This window comes from Homo sapiens, chromosome 6 (genome assembly GCF_000001405.40).
Source record: "Homo sapiens chromosome 6, GRCh38.p14 Primary Assembly".
In the NCBI taxonomy this organism is placed as follows: Eukaryota; Metazoa; Chordata; class Mammalia; order Primates; family Hominidae; genus Homo; species Homo sapiens.
In genome coordinates, this window is record NC_000006.12 from 134519223 (window position 1) to 134542009 (window position 22787).

Sequence of the window (22787 nt, forward strand, 5' to 3'; positions counted from 1 at the left end):
ATAGAAAATTAGCCGGGCATTGTGGTGGGCACCTGTGATCTCAGTTACTCAGGAGGCTGAGGCAGGAGAATTACTTGAACCTGGGAGGTGGAGGTTGCAGTGAGCCAAGATCACGCCATTGCACTCCAACCTGGGCAACAAGAGTGAAACTCCATCTCAAAATAATAATAATAAGAAGTTGTTATAATATATGGAATGTATATTGCAGCATTATATTTTAAAAACAAACCATTACAAAAACACTGTTAATTTTGGAAGGCACATTAGCCAGTAGGGTTGAAAGATTTAATGTTCCAGTAATAGGAGTTTGGAATTCCAAAACACAGAGAAATTGTCACTTTTATTGTTTTGCTTAGTCTGGTTTTATTTCAGGAAGTTAGGAGACACTGGGCCCGACAGCGCAGATGACAAGCCGTGATGCAAATGCTTCCTATCTATGAGACAGGAAATGCTCTCAGACCCTGCACGTAACTCCCTGCAAAGTTTGCTCTTTGTTTTTGGTACATCCATTTGCTTCTTTGTGCTTAATTCTATGTATTGTGTACAGATGAGACAAAGAGAAAGCTGCAGTTATAGGACAGTATATGCCTTCTAAAGAAATTGCTCTTACATTATCAAGGAACAAATGAAGAGGTTTACTGATTTATGAGGAGACATTTGGTATAAACTGAAGGACTTGCTACAGTAGCCATATAAAGGACCTCATAATGAAATTTTTCAGGTCACACACACACATACGCACGCATGTACGTATATGCACATATACAATTGTTTTTCAAGTGGTTTCAGATTTTTCAAATGCAGTCACTAAAGATCAATTCTAGCAATGAATACATTTTGAATTTGTACCCTCTGAGCTCTTACCATTTTGGTCATGCAGACCTTGAGAATTAAGAACCCAGAATATTTTTCTTCATAATTTTGACACTGATTCATCCTATTTTTTTTTTTTTTTTCAGGGAGGAAGGGGGTCACAGGGTCTCGCTCTGTCACCCAGGCTAGTGTGCAGTGATGTGCGATCATAGCTTGCTGTAACCTCAAACTCCTGGGCTCAAGTGACCCTCCCGCCTCAGCCTCTTGAGTAGCTGGGACCACAGGAACGGGCCACCACACCTGGCTAATTTTTTAAAATTTTTTGTAGAGACGGGGTCTCACTATGTTCCCCAGATTTGTCTTGAATTCCTGGTCTTAAGCAGTCCCCCTGCCTCGGCCTCCCAAAGTGCTAGGATTACAGCCAGGAACCACTGCACTGAACCATGATTCATCCTGTCTTTGAATCTGCCCACCTGGAAGTGTTGTGTAAATTTTTCCGTAAAGACTGGACTTGGCTTCATTCAGTTCGACTATCAGATTCTTCACAGTGCCTCAGAGGTATGCTCTTACTGCTGCAAAAAAAAGCTGGGGGAGGAAAGTATTTTAAAATTATTGAATGATCCTTGCTTAAACTTGCAAATTTACAGTGGCCAGGAGCCACTGTACCACAAAATCATGGTAAAAAATTTTCCTCCTACTAGTACTTTTAATGAATTTATTACAATATTATTTCAAGCCCAACTAGAGAACTGGAATAGAATGATACATTTCATCCTGTTTGCTATACAGCCGGTTTTTATTACAAAAATCTTGTTTTTACTTTAGTTTCATTTTTAAGGCAAATATTTGGCCCCTGGTTGAGGGAGTAGCGTGTCAGCCCTCAGCATTTGAAAAGGGAATTGCATGTTGGTGGGGCCGTGCTCCCTCCCAAGCCTGTGGGAGAGGAGCCTTGCTTGTCTCATCCACTTCTAGTAGCCCTGGGCATTCCTTGATTTCCAGCACAAAACTTCAGTCTCTGCCTCTTGTTTACATGGCCATCTTCTCTGCGTGTCTGTGTCTTCAGACAGTGTCCTCTCTGTGTGTTATTTTCTCTTCTAAGGGCAGCTGTCTTTTGGGATTAAGGATACACCTTATTCCTTGCGATCCCAACAATTACATTTGCAACAACCCTATTCCAAATAATGTCACATGCTGATGTATTGTGGATCAGAACATCAACATATCTTTTTGGGAGGCACAATTCAACTCATAAGACCTGCCAAGCACCACTCTAGGTGCCAGATTACAGAACAAATAAGACAGAGTTCATGCTCTGCAACTACAAGGAGGTTGACATGAAACAAACAAAAACCAAGAGTATCAGTTCATGATAAGTGCTATGTAGACGATTATAGGGCACCTTAAACTTAGATCGGGTGCTACAGAGACAATTATATAATAGGGCACCTACTCTGAAAAGATCACTCTAGGGTGACCTTTAAGCTGAGATCCCAAGAAAAGATGAAGGCAGTCATGCAGAAATAGGAAAAAGAAGATTCAAGGTTAAAGAAACTAAGGCCCCAGGAGGAAAACAACTGCCCCTATCCCATTGCTCACAGCAAAATCTGTCAGCAAGAAGGGCTTCCTTTTTTTCCATGAATTTATGTATGACCTCACATATGATCTGCTTAAGTTTGAGCTCCTGGTAGTTAACTTTCTGTAAAGTTATGGACAGATGGAACAGCAACCCAAGGAATAGAACTTTTCATGCTCTAAAAAAAAAAGTATTCATCTTTAGCTTGAAGGTGGCATATTGTTTTATGGACTGTGAGGCAATTTTTATAGTTTGGAAGCTATTTTCCAAATATAAACTGAAATATCATTGAAAGGAAGTGTAGAAAATAAATAGAGAAACTTAGTGACTAGCTAAGTCCTCCTCATATCGCCTTAAATGATATCAGATCTGGTTTGCAACTACTCATTCATGAAAGACATTAGTTTCATTTACAAGAAAATCATCCCCAAATTTGTCTTAAATCAGATAAATTTAAAGAAATAAATGGGGCCAGGTGTGGTGGCTCATGCCTGTAATCCCAATAATTTGGGAGGCTGAGGTGGGTGGATGACCTGAGGTCAGGAGTTTGAGACCACCCTTGCCAACATGGTGAAACCCCGCCTCTACTAAAAATACAAAAATTAGCTGGGTGTGGTGGCGGGGGCCTGTAATCCCAGCTACTCGGGAGTCTGAGGCAGGAGAATTGCTTGAAACCGGGAGGCAGAGGTCGCAGTGAGCAGAGATTGTGCCACTGCACTCCAGCCTGTGTGACAGAGTGAGACTCCATCTCAAAAAAAAAAAAAAAAAAAAGGAATACTGAAATAATTATAAGAATATAATTAATGTAATATGAATAAAAAATGAAGAGAAATAATGTAGAAATAGCCATTATTTATGTTTGTGACTATATTTCATAGAAGCCACATTTTCCCAAGAATGTTCTTACCTTTTAAAATTCTATACATCCTATAGTATAGGACATAGTGATCTAAAGCTGGTATCTAAGTGGTTTCATCTCAAGGAAAATTAAAACATTGCATGAAATGAAAAACAGCAGAGAAAATTTAAGGGCCAAGATCTTTTGTACCTTTTCTATGTCAAGTTTGGGTTTGCATTTTCAAAACTCTTAGAAAGATTAACAATAAAAATAGGGCACCTTTTTTTAATCTCTGTTGTTTGCAGATATAAGCATATTTTACTTACTGAATTATTAACTTTTCCATATGCCTGTCAATTTTTAGAAAAAGACCAAGAACTTCTAAAATAACATGTCAGAATCTGTGATTCAGAGAGAGAACAAATGTATTCAGCTCTCAGAATAACCTAAGCTCTGACCCAATTGAGTCTTAAATGAGAAGCTTTCTAAGAATATGGTTGTTTCACAGTAACTTTCTATGAATTCTCTCAAACAAAATTTAACAAGGGCCACGACTTCTTAAGATATTCAAAATTTAACACTGCTCATCCTTTCATCCATTTTCGGGGGAAAAATCAAGCTACAAATCCTTAAAAATTAAGCAAATAAGCAGAAACCTTCCTGTACAATAAGCATTTCAAGACACTTCAGGAGGGTTGTGTCTTTCTATTGAGTTATATTTCAAGTAATTGCATTAGCAAAAAGGTGTTAGGAGATTAAACATAAAGTGTATTCCATGCAATCCCTTTGGGTCAAGGTACACTGCCCTAAACACACTAGACCAGTGTTCATTCATCTGTGGGATGGTGAAATTTCTCCCACTCTCCCTACCCCCAGAACCCTCACCTGTGGTTCTTGGAGGCACTAAACTCAGTTGTGGGGCATCCGTTGTTCTGGCCCAGAGGGTGGGCACCATGAAGGCTGTTGCTCCTGAGCCCCTTCCATCAGGGCAGCCACAAAGGAGGTCAGTTTTTATTCAGTTGGGTTTTCCGTTGTTTCTTAAAGGCCCACAGTTACAATATCAGAGGCCCGAGTGAGATGTTGGTTCCCTGGAAGAGTTAGCAAATGAGCTATGAATACCTTATTAATAGTAGCTTACCAAATAATTAACAAAGGCAGGTGGAGTCAAAACTCACATATAAATAAGTCACTTGGAGTACATTGTGATTGCTGAGAATGAAGATCTACTATACGGCTTACTCCAGTGAAAGTATATATTATATGAATGTAATTTCAGAGACCCTTTTTCTAAATCAACTATAGAAAAGCTAACTCTCTTTTCTTCTACTTTTTACATCACAATTAAAAGGAGACCCCATTCCTTTGGTTCTAGAAGTATGTTACAAGAACAAGAGCAAGAGTCTGTTGGCTTTTTGCTTAGCACCGGTATTCCTTTTGTGTCTCTCAAACTTGGCACGTGAGTAAGTCATTGAAGATTGAGTGTGTTATAGAAAGAAAAACCACACTTGAGTTTGAACCTGCAGCTTCAAGGAACAAAACAAATGTTGGCCTAAGAAAAAAAAATAGCGAGTTACTCAGTGTCCAAATGAATCTGCTGTTTTAGGGGGAAACACCTTGAAAGAGGTAAAGGGTAATTTCTTCACATGAGAACCACAGTACCTGGCAAGGTATCTGAGTGAACCAGGCTGTGGTGAAATGTTTTTCTCCTGAAGCATTTCATCACACCACTCTGACTTGCTACAATGACTGCCTGGACATGCTGACTCCAGTGAGTTCCAGGCATCAGTAGGGTCTGAAAATATAAGCAAAGGAAAACACTTCACAGATGTGGGTTATTTCAGAAAATTGAAGAGAAGGAGGGAGATTAGGGGTCCTAAGCAAAGCATTAATATTATGAGTCAGACATACCTGCAGTTCCCAGATGCTTTGCAGATTCATTTTGTGCCATGCAGCACACATCTTCTTCCTCTTTTACTCTTGCAGATTCTCCTGTTGATCCTCTTCCCTCCCACTTGGAAATTTTACTTCTGCTGGATTTTAAAGCTTTGATTCTTTTTTTTTTTTTTTTTTTTTTGTGGTGGAGTCTTACTCTGTTGTCAAGGCTAGAGTGCAGTGATGCAATCTCAGCTCACTACAACCTCCTCCTCCTGGGTTCAAGTGATTCTCCTGCCTCAGCCTCCCAAGTAGCTGTAGCTGGGATTACAGGGCCCGCCACCATGCCCGGCTAATTTTTGTATTTTTAATGGAGACGGGGTTTCACCATGTTGGCCAGGCTGGTCTCGAACTCCTGACCTCAAGTGATCTGTCCGCCTCGGCCTCCCAAAGTGCTGGAATTACAGATGTGAGCCACCACGCCTAGCCTAAAGCTTTGATTCTAAAGCAGGCTGCTCTGGCCTGGGTATATTGGCTTGATCACAATGGTTCCCTAGACATGGACTAAGCAAATTAGCAAATGAGATATACCTGGTGTAAGCCACCTTTCAGTGAAGAGACTAATTGGGAGTGAATGGGTCCTACATTCTTTATATCAGAACTCTTCTTGGTTCAAATTTGCCAAATGGTTGGCTACCTCTTAATTATATTTGACCTCAGAAAGCCAACCATACATCTATACTTCAGAGAAAGACAAAGAGTAAAAGAAAAGTAATCCAAGTGTCGGTTGCAGAGAATGGGTGCGGGGAGGAGGGTCTCTGCTTTACATCGTCATTCTGAAACTCAAGATCTTTCCTACTAATGCAGGACTCAGCACACTACAGCTCACAGGTCAAATATAGACAGATTTTGGAAAAGAAGAAAGGTTTTGTACATATTTAAAGGAAAGAAGCTGAAGGAGAAAGAGGAGGAGGAGGGGGAGAAGAAACAGAGACTTTATACAGTCTACAAAGCTTAAAATGTTTATTATCTGACCCTTTACAGGAAAAGTTTGCTGACCCCTCATATGACTCAGCAAATCTCTAGGGCTCTGAAGCACTTCACTGGGTCCCCCATAAGCAAACCTTGGAACAGAAAAAAGTGCTTGAAGGATTTTGTGGGAGGTGTTAGAACCAGGCTTCCAGGAGGCATATGCTTCTGGTAGATAGAACTCAATCACATCTACCTGCAAGGGAAGACAGAAAATAAAGTCAAGCTCTCTGCCCAGGAGGGAAAGGGGTTTGGTTGGTGAAAATGCAGTTGTTACAGGGCACCCAAGGTTAACTGCTAGGAGAATTAAATTGGCAGTTGTTGAGAGCTCAAGAGAGCCAGAGCACTTCAGACAAAGGTTATGGAGGTGGCTTCCCAGAAAAGATCAAACTAAGATGGCCAATCAGCAAGAGGGTGGGAAATGCAGGTAAATGGAATGAGATAATCACAGCACAAACATGGGAAATGTAAGGCTTGGCCAGGGAATAACATTTAACAAGGAAAAGGTCCCACTGGGAAGTTCTGGGATATCATCTGCTTAGAAAGAAAGATTGGGTTCAGGTTGTAAAAGGCCTTGAGTGTCAGTTCATATATATGGATACCAACTTTAAAAAAAATAATTTTTTTCGGATTTTTATCTTATTTTATTTATTTTTTACACTTTGGCAGCATTGTCTATGGATCTGGAAACTCTGCATGTTGGGTTTCTTCATAGGTGTCTCTGGATAAAGGCCACCCTCAGAAAATAGGGATACTTGGATCTCAATAAATGAAATAAAATTTTGAAACTTGACTCATCTTTTCTGAGGAAACAAACTTACAAATCATACATTTAAAGAAGTAGATGACAGCATTTATAATTGGTGTAAAGATAATAAAATGAATACTCAGGCTCCTACCAGCAGCGTTAAGTAACAAAACACTGCCAGTATTCGACACCTTTGTGCCCTTCTTGATCACATCTCCTTCTCCCTGCCACTAAGGGCAATACTGAAATTTATGGTACTTGTTCCTTGATTTTCTTTATAGCTTTACTACCTATTTATAGATTCCTGATAATATATTGTTTAATTTTACCTGCTTTGACCTTTGTACAGATGGTACTATATTATACATACTGTTCTGTGATGTGTTTTTGTCCAATGTTATGTTTGTTTGTTTTTTGAGACAGAGTCTCCCTCTGTTGCCCAGGCTGGAGTGCAGTGGCGTGATCTTGGCTCACTGCAAGCTCTGCCTCCTGGGTTCAAGTGATTCTCCTGCCTCAGCCTTCCGAGTAGCTGGGACTACAGGCGCCCACCACCACGCCCAGCTAATTTTGTTTTTGTATTTTTAGTAGAGACGGGGTTTCACCGTGTTAGCCAGGAGGGTCTCAATCTCCTGACTTCGTGATCTGCCCGCCTCGGCCTCCCAAAGTGCTGGGATTACAGGCATGAGCCACCGTGCCCAGCCCCAATGTTATGTTTTTAAGACTCATCCAAGTTGCTGCTTGTAGCTAGCAGCTAATTCATTTATATGGTATTCTGCTATATGTTAACCTACTCTTGATGGTCATGTCTCTTTCTTTTTAAATTGGAAAAAATGTATCTCTTTCAAAAACGTTAAAATAAATACTAAAAAGTCAAAAACAAAACAAAACAAAAACAGGAAATAAGATGCCTGTGAAGAATGCATTGCTTGTGTCTGCAGACTATTTAAAAGTCAAGGTATCTCTCCTTGGAATTTCCTGTTCTAATAGGAGTATAGAGCTTGGCTTATCATGTTCCATTTGATTTGCTATGACATTTATCTGTACTCTTTCTTGGTGGTTTGTTTTTTCAGATTACCAGTTCCTTGCATGTGATTGAAGGGTTCTAGCTGCTTTAGAAACTGCCCCGTCCCCTTGCCTTCACCCTGCCAGTTAAGAACATTCAGGGCACTTTTGTACTCACAGGTCTCAGATTTCCATTTCAGGACATTTGGGCATAGGCCTTCATCAGAGAGTTTCCTCACATATCTCGGGCTGTTGACAACATGACTTGCCTTTTGTAATCCAGTTATTCTGGACATAATGTAAGTGACAGTGATAATTCTATGTTATTCATCTTCCTTGTTAGGCTTTTGTTCTTGAGTCTATTCGTGGCTCAATTTTGTAAATGAAGAAAGCCATTTCTTTTCATGTCTTAAGCCTGGCTGAGAGAACATTTCTCAGCTTCTGTTGACACATCCATTCAACTGTCCACCTAAGAAAGCCTGGAGATACTGATACAGCACCACAAGACATCAGTGCACAGTCCCATGAGAAAACCTCAACTGTTCAAGCCTCACTCTCTAAGATAGTTTTCAAGAGTGTTAACAACTATCTTATTCCTTCTTACAGAAAAGAAGCAAGAAAATTTTTCCAAGAGTGGTAAAACATTTTACCTCTCAAACATTTCTCTAAGTTTCTTTTCCTTTTTGTTGTGTATTTCACAGGCAGGTTTCAATTCTGAATAATGAGCATACGTTTGCCTCTTGAGAACAACCTGAGTTGCAAAAACTCCTTTTTAAGCTTTTCTGCTCAAAGCAATCAACTCTATAAATTATACATCTCTTACTTGATATGCATTTTCTAATAGGTAGTCTAAAGCCATCCCGTATGAATACTCATTTTCACATTAAAGGTGGAAAAAACTTAAAAGCCTTTCTTTTTTTCTATTTTTTTTTTTTTTTTTGCCAAGAGGCAGATATTCTTCTTTTGAAAAGTCTGTTTATTCCTGGTGGGAAGTTTTATTTCTATCTTCAGAAACATCATTTTAAATTTGCGTAATCAGTTCAGCAAACTGCTTCTTATAGTGATAAATAAATATCAAATTAAACTTGCAATTAAAATTTACTAAAAATATAGGTTGCTATAATTTTGTTGGTGATAAAAGTACAGAAGTAGAAATGATTAATGATGATTACTAATTATGCAGCTGTGTTCAGAGCACACAAGTCTATGGAGCTATAGCTTTTTAGCTAAATAACGATGTTATTCCAGGAAAAACCTTTGTATATAATATCTAAATGCAACACATTTCCAGTCAGAACAAACACCCCCATTACCTCATAACGCTTAGCTTGACAAAGAGAACCAGAAAAATAGAATGCTAGAATAATCGTCTCATATCCTCTTTTGCTTATTGTAGTTTTTTTGTTGACTGTTAGATTAGAGTTTCTAAGAAAAAAATGCCATCAATATGAGAAATTATCTGGTATTAATAATAGTGAAGACAGGAGTAGCTTGTTAAAATTCTGGCTTCTTTCTTTCCTAAATTTTGTATATCCTGTCTTGGAATTTCATATTAAAAATAACTTACTGGTGCTGGGCGTGGTGGCTCATGCCTGTAATCCCAGCACTTTGGGAGGCTGAGGTGGGAGGATCGCGAGGTCAGCAGTTCGAGACCGGCCTGGCCAACGTGGTGAAACCCCATCTCTACTAAAAATACAAAAATTAGCCAGGAGTGGTGGCACCCACCTGTAATCCCAGCTACTCGGGAGGCTGAGGTAGGAGAATCGCTTGAACACGGGAGGCAGAGGTTGCAGTGAGCCAAGACCACACCACGGCACTCCAGCCTGGGACAGAGCGAGACTCTGTCTCAAAAAAAAAAAAAAAAAAAAAAAGTAAAAGTAACTTATTGGTAAGGCTAACAAAGTCACTAAAAAATAAAATCACTAAATAATTTTTTTTGTTTGTTTGTTTTTGGTTTTGTTTTATTTTGTTTTAGAGATGGAGTCTTCTGTCACCCAGGCTGGAGTGCAGTGGAGCAATTGTAGCTCACTGTAGCCTCAAACTCCTGGACTTAAGTGATCCTCCTGCCTCAGCCTCTCCAGATGCAAGTCACTGCACCCAGCAGCTTCCTAAATATTTGACTTGTAGACAGAAGACCTGGATTTGATCCTATCATCTATTACTTAAAATAAGAAAACCTACAAATTAGGTAGCCCTCAATTTTTTTAACCACATATTATTTTTGATTAGCACAAAAATCCCATTTTCCCTTCCCTCTTCTTCACTTGTGTAGAAAATCATTATTTTACAAAAAACAATCTTAGAGATAAAACAACAGAGACCTATAGAGGTTATGTGAAATTATAATATCTCAAACTCAGTTCTCTTATATTCTAGTCATGTGTTACTTTCAGTATGCAATCAACAAACAAAACTAGGCTGGGCATGACAGCTCATGCCTATAATCTAGCACTTTGAGAGGCTAAGGCAGAAGGATTGCTTGAGCCCAGGAGTTTGAGACCAGCCCAAGCAGCATAGCAAGACCCTGTCTCTAAAACTAAAACAAAAATAAACACACAAAAAGGAGACAGAGAAAGGCAGAGAGAAAAAGAGGAGAGACAAAGGGAGAAAAAGAAAAAAACAGAGAAAGGGAAGAAAGAAGAAAGATAAAAGAGGGTGTTGTTGTGAATGTTAAGTATGGCATTCCAAGTAGAGAAGAAAATGATAAAGTAGTAGAAAAAATATGGAAATTTGGAAAAAGTTGTCCTCAAACCAGAATAGCTACTGAGACTACCAAATTGTGGCTGTAATTTAGTGGATAATTAACATGAAAAATGTTGGATTAGGGAGATGCATACAATTTTCCTTCACAGAGGTGGCTTGGTGTGATGGAAAAGATAAAAAACAAACAAAAACTCGTCTAGAAATTCAATGCTTCTGTTGGAATTTGGTTCCACCTCTGAAGTGCAGGGTGACCTCGTCCATGTTGTGTAACTTATTTACTCTTCTTTCCTCATATGGGAAATGATGATAGAGTATCCATCAACCTACCCACATCACAGGGTTATCTGAGGAACTGATGATATCACTGTTGTATAAAAGCTTTTTGAAAGTTGTAAAGCACCAAAGCAACATGTAACATATGACCACAAGTAAACCACATGCTGTTCCTTCGCGTGGAAGTTGGAAAGTCAAATGCAAAAGTAAAATGGAGGAGATGGGTTACATCATTTTAAAGAAAAATGCAGCTGATCCCATTAACCACAGCCAGATTTTTAAGACCAACTTTGACATTTTTTGAGTGCTTAATCTTTTTTTTTTTTTTTTTTTGAGACGGAGTCTTGCTCTGTTACCCAGGCTGGAGTGGAGTGGCGTGATCTCAGTTCACTGCAAGCTCCGCCTCCCGGGTTCACGCCATTCTCCCGCCTCAGTCTCCCGAGTAGCTGGGACTACAGGCGCCTGCCACCGCGCCCGGCTAATTTTTTGTATTTTTAGTAGAGACAGGGTTTCACAGTGTTAGCCAGGATGGTCTCGATCTCTTGACCTCGTGATCCGCCCGCCTCAGCCTCCCAAAGTGCTGGGATTACAGGCGTGAGCCACCGTGCCCGGCCAGTGCTTAATCTTAAGCAACAGACCTTACGCAATTTTGTTTTAGTATCATGAACACAAGAATCTGTTTGTTTTTGTTTTTGTTTTGTTGTTGTTGTTGTTTTTGACAAAGTGGTTTGAAGAGGCATTGGGGAAGGAAGCAAGATACTCACAACTGAGGGGACCTCAGCCATTTGCCTCCTTATTTCAGAGCATTGTGAGATGACGGTAAGGAGGAGGGCTCACAAGGGGCTCGTGTCTGCCTCTCCGTCTGCCGCTGAGTGACGAAGAGCAAACTGCAGAGCTGGAGACACAGCAGTATCCCAGAGAACTGGCCTGATGGCTCCTCCTGGGCCACGCACCTCCTGTCAGAGCTGGCCAGTTAGCGTTGGCAGACAACCTAGTTAGGACAAGGACATAGAATCAGAGTGGCTGACACAAGAGAGCTCCTCACTGTGACAGCAACTCAAACTTCTGGGGCTCCAGAAAGGAAATAGATGTTTGGAAACAGATATGACAAAAGGCCTTTCCCTTCAACTGCTCAGCATGTGAGACTGAATTTTGGAAGATTAAAAAAAATAAAATAAAAAGAACCATTGTTCATCCCCTCAGGGCTCAGCAAGTGTTTTATCACATTTTTATGAAATATAGTCTTCGCCGCAGAGCTTTGTTTGCATGAGGGTGTGTCCCATCCATGGGTGGAAAATTTCCATAACTTTTTTCCATTCTGTTCTGTTCCTCCCTCTTTTGTACAGTTTTTCAGGGTCTCTGTCCATTGTGATTCTAACATGGACCAACCCTAAGGACCAATGTTATTTGCTATTTTAAAACTTGAAAGATCAAAATGGCAGGGGAAGAAATCAGAATCCTTTTAGTGCCAATTACTCGCCAAATGTCTGTATGAAGAGCCAACGTGACACCTTTCTTACTTAATTCATCCACCAGTGACATTTGTTAAATGATTATTCAGCCAATACTATGTCAAAGAATACCATATACTTTAAAAAATCCTTTAATTCAGCAAATCAGCTGATATGAGTGATTTTGTTCCTAAAAAGGTTGGTGTGTTTAAATCTCTTTCCCACTTGCAGTCTTCCCTACTGCTGTGTCTGAGGCAGGTGTTGACAGTTGTTATTCTGTGGTAGGAATTTTTAGAAACAACAGCACTGTAGGGTGGACAAATGGCTTCATCAGGAAATCATGCACTGGTTTGAGATAAGCAAGGGTGGATTTGAAAATCACCTTCCCTTTAGTGTCACTTGTACTTTCTCTTCCTTTAGCTGCTCTCTGTTGTGAATTCTGTCCCTGCAAAGCTTGTCACATACTCCTTACATACACCCTCCTTTCTTGCACAGAGCAATGATCTTACCATTTTCTGAGAGAAACTCATAGATTCGTGTATTACGAGACAAAAGTTGACATCAGTCTTCTCTTAGATCGTTTACAGAAACAAAACAAAGAAACAAAAGAAAATTAGTGCTTTCTGCAGAGGAACAGGTACACACACTGGGATGCCCTGCACTTCCTGGACAATCAATTCTGGAAACACTATGGTCACCTACAGCACCACAATGAACTGCATTCCAAGAAGCCTGGAGAGCAAATGCTGAGATGTTCTTTTTGGTACAATGCAAAAGCATATCACATTGCTGTTTGCCCACAGCACACTTTTTAACTTAAAAGTAAATGCTAATACTTTGAAGATTAAATATTAAAAAAAAAACCTCAAACCTAAGCAAATTTTAGTCTCTCTGGAAAAGCAATTGATAAATAATACACTCAAACTGTGACTATATTTTCACACTGTTAAGAATTTATTTATTAAAAAATAATATGTTTCTGGAAACAGCTCCCTTTTGATCATCTCCCCAGAGCTAGAATATACACACAAATTCTATGGAATCAAAGCCTTGTAGGTAAGAAACAATTTTGTTAGATGAATTCTTCAGGAAAGAAGATCATGCCAAGATAGGCCATCTACTTTTAAAAAAAAAAAAAAAAACTGGATTCTCCATCCTATAATAATAGATCATAAGTTGAATCTGTAGTGTGTAATGTGTCAGCTTGGCTAGGATGAACTACATTTCACAGAATTCCTGTTCTTGTATCTTTCCGGGTAAGGTGAGCTATGTGGAGAGGTTCTTGTGGGAGAAAGGAGGGTGGAAGGGAAGCAGCAGCCACATTTCAGCCGCCCCCTAAACACTGTGGCTTATCTGCTGGCTTACTTCCTTGGTGTGGGCAGTGGCCAGGCTTGCAGCTGTTTCATCTTCCCATGTATCCTCCTTCAGCTTTTCTGATTCCTTCTCTGGTAATTAAAAAGTACAAACTGCTCTAGATATAGTGGTAAGACATTTGCACACCAAGGGTAGGAAATAAACCCCACAAATATCAAGTCTGAGGCATGTTGAGGCACCCCACAAATAGAGACCAGAACAAGAGAAGGCTCCGTAAGTCCAGACTGCTCTGCAAGCAGCTCTGCCACTTAGACCACATGATCCAGAAGAGCCAATGGTGCTTGAAATGCCAGTAACAGAAAGAAAGGCTGTTTAAAGCCTTTGCCAGGCTCCTATAGGTACAGCACAGACAAGACCCTTAGAATTTTGGAAGAAAGCCCTGCCATTCTTGATAGGTAATGATTCTTCTTTTATGAAATAGCTTTTATGTTATTACCGGGCCTTGGTAGAGACTGAATGTTTGACGATGGGCTACCAAGTTACCATATGACCTGAGCTGCCCATTACTAGTGTTGTCTGAGTCACCAGGCCATAAAGTTGAGTATGCACAGAAGGACTCTCTGATTAAATGGAAGTGGTAGATACGAAATTGGGCCTCAGCAGGGCCTGAAAGCACAAATACGTTGCATGAGCAAGTGGCCTACATATCCGTGACCCTTACTCCTATTACATTGCCTTCTTTCTCTCAACTTACACCTATGACCCTTGGAGAGCTTCCTATGACAAGCTGATAAAGGGATAAAAATCTTGGGCCTAGTTTGCAGAACTTCAAGCAATGCTCCTGGTCATTCATTTTGCTTCAAAGAATAAATGTCCAGAAGTACAAGTCAACACTAACTCATGGGCTATTTGGTTGTATGGTCAGAGAATTGGAAGGAACATGATTGAGAAATTGGTGACAAGGAAATCTGGTGAAAAGGTAGGTTGATGGACCTCTTCAAATGGGCATAGTATGTAAAAATATCTGTGTTCCATGTGAATGCTCGCCAAAGGGTAAACTCAACAGAGGAGGATTTTATTCATCAGGTGAACAGAATGAGCCATTCTGTGGACATTCGTCACCTTTCTTCCCAACCAACTCCTGTCATTACCCAACTGGAAAATGAAAAAAACAAAAAAAAGGCAATGGTGGCAAAAAATGGCAGTTATGCGTGGGCTCATCGACATGAACTTCTACTTACCAAGGCCTATCTAGCTATAGCCACCACTGAGTGGTGCCAAAACTGAGTGCCTGATCTGTTAACAGCAGAGATTGACAGTGAGCTCCTGACATGGCACCATTCCCAGCTACTAGGCTGATTACATTAGATCACTTCCCTCATGGAAGTGGCAGTGTTTGGCTCTTACTGGAATAGACACTTGTTGTGGATATGCATTTGACTTCCCTGCCCACATGCTCCTGCTAAAACCACTACAAAAACCATGTACAGAATAACTTATTCACTATCACGGTATTTCACACAGCATCACTTTTGACCAACAAATTTGTGTCACAGCAAATGAGGTACAGCAATGGACTCATGCAACCCACTGATCTTACCGTGTTCCCCGTCACCCTGAAGCAGCTGGCTTGATAGAATGGTGGAATGTCCTTTTGGAGACTCATGTATGGTCTTTTAGGATGCAAAGTATGCTCTAGATCAGCATCCAACATATATTTCTGTTTCTTCCTTAGCCAGAACTCATGCGTACGGGGATCAAGGGGTGGAAATAGGACAGGATCTTCTCACTATTATCCCTAGCAGTTCACTAACAAACGATTGCTTCCAGTCCCTGTGACATCAGGCTCGGGTGGTAAAGAGGTCTTAGTTCCAAAAGGAGGAGTTCTTCTGTCAGGGGACATATGATGACTCGGTTGATCTGGAGTGCCACCTGACCGCTTTGACTCATGCCATTGAATCAACAGGCAAAGAAGGCAGTGATTCAATCTAGGCTGCTTCTACACAAAGAGAATCAGGAGCATGTCTTGAAAGCTAAAGTTCTAGGTTTCCTGTTAGTACTACCATATCCTGTGATTAAAGTGAATAGAAAACTACATCAGTTCAACTTAACAAGACTGCTAATGTCCTAGAACATTCAGGAACAAAGATTTGGTTTATATCACCAGGCAAAAACCCAAGACCAGTTAAAGTACTTACTGAGAACAAAGGGAACATGAAGTAGGTAGTGGAAGAATGTAGTTCTAAATACCAGCTGTGGTCATGTGACCAGTGACAGATACAAGTACTGTAATAATTATGAGTATTTCTTCATTTTTATAGGACTATATGCAAACATACATATAAATATATGTATATATATTTCTTTAACCAATTACTTTGTATTTGTCTTCTGTCTCATTCCCTTATCATCTAACATAAAATGTGTTAATACTATTTAACTTAATATCTCAATGTATAAGTTGTAGGATATCAAAGGAGAGGTGAGAATCTGTTGTGAATCTGTTAAAAGAAAAATGAATATCACCCAAAATCATAACAAGAATGTTGGATTCTCTCTTACAGAAAAGTGTATTTTGGTTGTTCTTGGGACAGACATATCATGTTAGAGGCAGGCACAACTTTGTTATTATCTGTAATTGGAAATTAAGTTTGAGTTAAGGAGAGAGTAGGAGGCCAAGTTGTCAAGGTGTGGCTTTGTAAAGAGCGAACCCAACTAGACTGAACTCTGTTTCCCAGAATTCCCTTTTTTGTGTGTTTCTGGTTAGGGTGGGTCACAGGAGAGATTCTCGGGCAAAATTTGGAGAGGGGAGTAAAGCAGCAGCCATTTGCTACCTTATATATGTCTCTTCGCTGCTGGATCACCTCTTGCATGAGACAGCAGCTGGGCCTGCAACTGTTCCACCTTCCCCTGGATGGATCCTCCTGAAGCTTCTCCAACTCCTGGGCCAGGTACACACCTTTACTGAGCTCTGTTATGAAGGGCTCTGCCTCTGAAGGACGTTATACAACCAAGGTTAGAGGCATTCAGAACTGGTGCAAGTTTCAGTCTGTCCTTGTGAGCCCCCACTGTGTCTGGGGTTCTAGCCTGCTCTGGTTCTTCCCCACTTTATATCCATCTTCCTTTCCTGACAACCTGTCATTGGAATTCAAGCTCCAGCATTGGATATGAAGACAACAGCTTTACAGACATGACTTAACCACTTAACCACACCACACTATTATGTAATGTCAAATCCCTGGAACTGTATAAATACATATACATACATACACACAGGCATCCTAGTGTTTTTGCTTCTCTTATTGAAAACTTAATAATACAGTATTTTAGTTGAACGTTAAAAGATTACATTCTTTGAGAAAAACAGCTTTTTGAGGTATAATTGACATACAACAAACTGCACATATTTAAGTTGTACAGTGTGATAAATTTCGACATATGCAGATCCCCTAATCAAGACAGTGAACATATTCATCACCCTCCAAAGTTTGCTTGCTCCCCTTTCTATCCCTCTGTCCTTTCCACTCCTTCCCCATCTCCCCAGACAACCACTGCTGTGCTTTTTCTTCCTCTAGATTAGTTTGCATTTTCCAGAGTTTTATATAAACAGAATCATACTGTATGTACTCTTTTTTTGGTCTGGCTTCTTTCACTCAGCATAATTATTTTGAGATTCCTCTATTCTGTTATGTGCTCATTCTAAAATAGTTTACTCTACAAGGTTAAATTCTTTTTTTTTTTTTTTTTTTTTTTTTTTTTGAGATGGAGTCTCACTCTGTCGCCTGGGCTGGAGTGCAATGGCCTGATCTCAGCTCACTGCAACCTCCGCCTCCTGGGTTCAAGCAATTCTCCTGCCTCAGCCTCCTGGCTAGCTGGAATTACAGGAGCCCGCCACCACGCCTGGCTACTTTTTTGTATTTTTAGTAGAGACGGGATTTCACTATGTTAGCCAGGCTGGTCTCAAACTCCTGACCTCGTGATCCACCCGCCTCGGCCTCCCAAAGTGCTGGGATTACAGGCGTGAGCCGCCACTCCTGGCCCAAGGTTAAATTATTAATAAACAACATTCTGGTTAAGTATAGATCCATCATATGCATTTAGATGCATTGTAACTGGGCATAACTTAGAGAAACCAAAATCCAGACCATCAGAAATAATGCATTAGGAGCATTTCCTTATATCAGGAAGGTCTAGAGATAGTACCATTACATCAGCCTCACCATTAAGTGGTGGGGAAAAAAGCTTCTTTGGAAAGGGTTTCCAAAGGCTGGACTTTACATAAAACAGAGATTTTGGTAAGTGGAGTAGGGCTGGACATCACCATCTCCAGAGGTTAGCCAGGAAACCTAGGGAAGGGATGGCATGCCATCTGCTGAATTTTGAGTGTGGCATCTTCTGAGGGAGTCATGGAATGACATCAGCCTGAATAACCGTGAGTCATTCTTGTTCATACCTTTCCCCAGCACCATCGGCATGTGAATTCAGCAGCCCCAGAGTTTCTCCTTTCATCCAGTTTTGTTCTAGCCCCATTTGCTCTCATATTGCCCCAGATGAGCCAGGAGGGACAGACTGCTCCATAGGGTGCCTGAAAACCTCCAAATATGAGTCATGGAAAGCAACATCATGTAGTTGGCATTTGACTGAAAATCAAGAGGTCTGGATGTTAACCAAGAGCTGCCACTTAATTATAAGCTATGTGACTATGGATAAATCAAATTCTCTCTCTGAATCTCATTTCGTCAACTGTAAACTGAAGGAGTTGGACAAGGTGATCTTGAAAATATCTGCATTCTGTGTAATTAAGAGTGGAGTAACAGGCCAGGCGCGGTGGCTCACACCTGCAATCCCAGCATTTTGGCAGGCTGAGGCGGGCACATCACCCGAGATCAGGAGTTCAAGACCAGCCTGGCCAACATGGTGAAACCCCGTCTCTACAAAACTACAAAAAAAATTAGCCAGGCGTGGTGGCGTGCACCGTAATTCCAGCTACTCCAGAGGCTGAGGTGGAAGAATCGCTTGAACCTGGAAGGCGGAGGTGGCACCATTGCACTCCAGCCTAGGTGACAGAGCAAGACGCCATCTCAACAACAACAACAACAACAACAACAACAACAACAACAAATTAGCTGGGCATGGTGGCGCGTGCCTGTAATCCCAGCTACTCAGGAGGCTGAGGTGGGAGGATCGCTTGAAACCAGGAGGCAGAGGTTGCAGTGAGCTGAGATAGTGCCATTGCACTCCAGCCTGGGCAACAAGAGTGAAACTCCATCTCAAAAAAACAAACAAACAAACAAACAAACAAACAAAAGAGTGGGATAATAAATGCCCAGAGGATTAACAGGTGTAGTCATGCCAAGCACCATGTGGATAGCCTGAATTAAATCCCTACTTGTAAATGTGCTAGGCTATAGCATGGCCATCCATTCATCCATCTGCTCACCCATCCATCCACCTGTCCGTCAATAAATATTCACTAAGCACTTCTATGTGCAGGACATTGTGGTCAGCACTGGAGACAGGAAGATGAATATGGTCTAGCTCCCTTCTTCAAGGTGCTCACAGTTCAGTGAGGGCAGAAACATTTACACATAACTAATTATGCATGATAATTTTAAAATGTATATTTAGAACAGAGATGGTGTTTTGGTAATATCTTGATCCTCAGAACTTTGTACAAAGTTAAAGCAAAATAATTGTTTTTTCTGAATATCAGAATACATGGAACAAACAGCATTTTAGAAAATTCTACAGGGAGATATGGGAAAGAGGGATTTAAAATATTTCTTTAAACTAAAAATAGAACTACCCTTTGACCCAGCAATCCCATTCTGGATATATACCCAAAGGAAAATAAATCATTCTACCAAAATACACCTGCACTCATATGTTTATTACAACGCTAGTCACAAGAGCAAAGACATGGGATCAACCTAGGTGTCCATTAATGGTGGACTGGTCAAAGAAAATGTGATACATACACACCATGGAATACTATGCAACCATAAAAATAAATGGAATCATGTCCTTTGCAGAGATGTGGATGCAGCTGGAGGCCATTATCCTAAGTGAATTAGCGCAGAAGCAGAAAATCAAATATTGCATGTTCTCACAAGTGGGAGCTAAATATTGAGTACACATGGACATAAAGATGAAAACAATAGACACTGGGGACTCCAAAAGTGGGGGAAGAGGGGAGGAAGCAAAGCAAGACTTTAACAGCTGCCTATTGAATACTGTGTTCACTATTTGGGTGATTGTTCGAACAGAAGCCCAAACCTCAGCATCACTCAATACAGCCATGTAACAAAGCTACACATGTACCCCCTCAATCTAAAAAAAATTTCTTTAAGTTCCTTTAGGAAACTCACGGCCCCCCTTTTCCCTGACATGTCTTACCGACAGTTATATATATTTCTATATGTATTCATTACTGCAGCAGACCTTTAGGAAGAGAAAGAGGAAAGAGAAGAAAATTCAAATTCTACTCTCCGTATAACTGAACAAGTAACCATCAATTTTCCCTCTCTGGAAAAGGCCACGAGCTTTCTAGGAAAAGAAGACACTATCTAGAATTAGCCAAATTTAATTAAGTTGATGTTATTAACTTACACTATTATATACAAATGTGATGATTGTAAACTGGAAGTTCATCTTCACGAAGCAAATAAATATTTTTGAGACTTATGTCATCAACACTAAAATGTTTACGTATTAGCATCTACATTCTCCATAGATAGTTTTAAATAATTAAATTTATATTTTTCAAAACACTACTTGATTTTCCTCAGTTTTGTTAGAATCAAATAACTGTTGGTTAAAAGAGAACAATAAACAGCTTATACCAACTGAGAAAACCTGAACATCATTTCTAATTTTTGTTCTTAACTTGTACAGTTGAAGATATTATTAAGGAAACAGAAAATACATATTTTAATGGTTAAACTTAAAATGTTTAACTATTCGGCATCCAGCAAACTGGGTGAAGTTTGCTCTTCTATCTGACTTCCGAGAAGCCAGCAAGCCAGGTCATGTGGCTGGCTGACCTCCCAGCACCACCTACCTCAACTCCATGAGATGCCATCAGATCCCACCCAAAGGAGCCAGTCGTCCCCATGAAACAATGACCAATTCTTACAAGACACAACTGGAGCTCTGTTGCTGTGGCACAGGAAGGCTCGATAAGATCTCCCAGCCACAGCATTCTTTTGTGTCAGCAGACTCAAGTGGGATGTTCCTTCTGCAGCTCTTACCGAGCAAGAGGAAGCGGGCTTTGAAACACAATGTTCATTGAAATTGGCTTTCATCTGAGGAATCCCAGGGTGGCTCCTGCTTCATGATGTGCATTCTGTCTGCAGCTGAGCTCTCCTGATGCATTTCCCTTGTTTGTTCTGGGGGGAAGGCAGCACCTTTACGGGACTCACCCTTTTACTAGGTAAAGGGCATCGCATTGTGCTGGGCGAAGCATTATGTGTCAGGATGTCTCCAGTGAGTCTGGAGCCTAGAAGGAGCATCAAAAATAAAATTAAAAAAAATCAAGTCCTCCACCATCCTGGCTCACTGATGGAACAATTTAGGAGAAGAACACAAAGCCATCTAATGACCCTGGGGAGCATTTGCTTGTTTGGTGACCTTAGGCGCAGGAAGTCATTTATCACTCTAGTTGCTACATTGGGCACAATGCCACAGGACACAAATGGGGGTACTGAACGTAAGTCTGAGTGTTGGCCCAATAGTACCTGTCCAGAAGCAGCCTGGGATCCATGATCCATTGCAGGGCAATTATGGCTCTTAAGAAAATGAAGAGAAGTAAGTAATCCACAGTATCAAATCATGGGTGAGAAGTCTCTCCATCCCATTGCCCTAGTTTTATAACTTAGCAATTCATCTTCTTTTCAGAGAAAACCATTCTGGATCCCAAACAGATTTTCTCTGATTAAGAAATAGTCTCAATCAGTACATGGAGAAAAAAGCAAACACTGTTAAGCCCATCTTTTCTTGCTAGACACCTCTTCCTTTCTATCTGCTCCACCCAATCTGGGCCAGTTTATTATGCAAAATGAGATAAGCAGTCAACTCCCAATAGGAATAGAAGAAAGAACACACCACTTTTTCACTTCCACGGCACTTTTAACTCTGCACATATTTTTTCCTTTGACTCTCAAAATAACCTGGCAAAGTTAGATAGGCATTGTCTATTTTCAGCAGTACAAGGAGTTAGTACAGAGACAAAGTTAAAGACCCTTGAACCTCATAAAGAGCTGGCAGCAGAAAGTACAGAACCCACATGTCAGGTTCCTCAGGTAGGCCCTGTTCATCAGGTCAGATCCCTTAGGCATGTGGACAAGTGACCAGTCTCCAGTTGACTGTAAAGGCTGGCTTTCATCACCACCAGCGGGCTAACCTCCTACATATATCTGTGTGTCTACGGCAAGGTCGACAGAACCCATATATAAGGAAATACTGATACTGAAAAACTTGAAAAACCTGGAAGTTGCTTCTTGGAATCCAGTGTTCTTGTCCCAAGGTAAAAAGAATAGATGTCAATCTTGTAACTGACGCAAGACACTGACGAAAATGACAATCCATGCACTTAGCTTTCCCAAGAATGAAATGAATCAAAAAGTACCAAGAAATCAAAATTCTAGCTAAAGCTCATGAAAAGGACTCAAAACTACTCTCTGAATGGCTTATCTTTAGCTGAGCTCATAACAGAACTCTTAAATTTCTGAAAATTTGGTAGAATCTTCTTGTGAAATTCTTCAGAAAGGATTGCCCAAACCTAGGGATAGCAAAAGTTTTTGATGACCTTTCCGCTACCTATGACTCAACTTATCCCTGATTACAATAGGCTTCTGGAGAAGAGAATTTATATTAGCAATTGGCTTTGAGTAAAAGGGTCTGTGAAACTATCTGTTCCTCATCAGGTCCCTCCCCCAACCCAGGTTAAAAGAATAAAATGAAATTAAATTATTAAATAAAATGGATAACAACTGGCCAAAACTCTGCAAAGGAGATTCTTAAATTGAGTGGGATACTCTGGGGTTCTTTTTAACTCTAACACTCTATGACTTTTTAAAAATGCTAGCCGGGCGCGGTGGCTCATGCTTGTAATCCTAGCACTTTGGGAGGCCAAGGTGGGCAGATCACTTGAGGCCAGGAGTTCGAGACCAG

At 40.5% G+C, this 22787-nt stretch overlaps 1 long non-coding RNA gene across 2 annotated transcripts, besides 2 other annotated features; it reads right to left on the bottom strand.

The window, feature by feature from the left end:
* Positions 1 to 6095: 6095 nt before the first annotated feature.
* Positions 6096 to 20783, bottom strand: LINC03002 (long intergenic non-protein coding RNA 3002). 2 transcript variants are annotated; one of them, NR_125855.1, is made up of 4 exons: positions 20677 to 20783; positions 11616 to 11842; positions 9601 to 9716; positions 6096 to 6321 (listed from the first exon to the last, which is right to left on the bottom strand). It is a non-coding gene; the product is annotated as a long intergenic non-protein coding RNA 3002 (long non-coding RNA). The 2 variants fall into 2 exon arrangements; NR_125856.1 differs by lacking the exon at positions 9601 to 9716.
* Positions 14934 to 16133: an enhancer, noted in NCBI's record as "BRD4-independent group 4 enhancer chr6:134855294-134856493 (GRCh37/hg19 assembly coordinates)". NCBI's record gives its function as "activates an origin of replication core promoter dependent on BRD2, P300/CBP, MED14 and CDK7 cofactors, and independent of BRD4, by STARR-seq in HCT116 cells {active_cell/tissue: HCT116}" and the evidence as "EXISTENCE:reporter gene assay evidence [ECO:0000049][PMID:35650434]".
* Positions 17687 to 18886: an enhancer, noted in NCBI's record as "BRD4-independent group 4 enhancer chr6:134858047-134859246 (GRCh37/hg19 assembly coordinates)". NCBI's record gives its function as "activates an origin of replication core promoter dependent on BRD2, P300/CBP, MED14 and CDK7 cofactors, and independent of BRD4, by STARR-seq in HCT116 cells {active_cell/tissue: HCT116}" and the evidence as "EXISTENCE:reporter gene assay evidence [ECO:0000049][PMID:35650434]".
* Positions 20784 to 22787: the final 2004 nt, after the last annotated feature.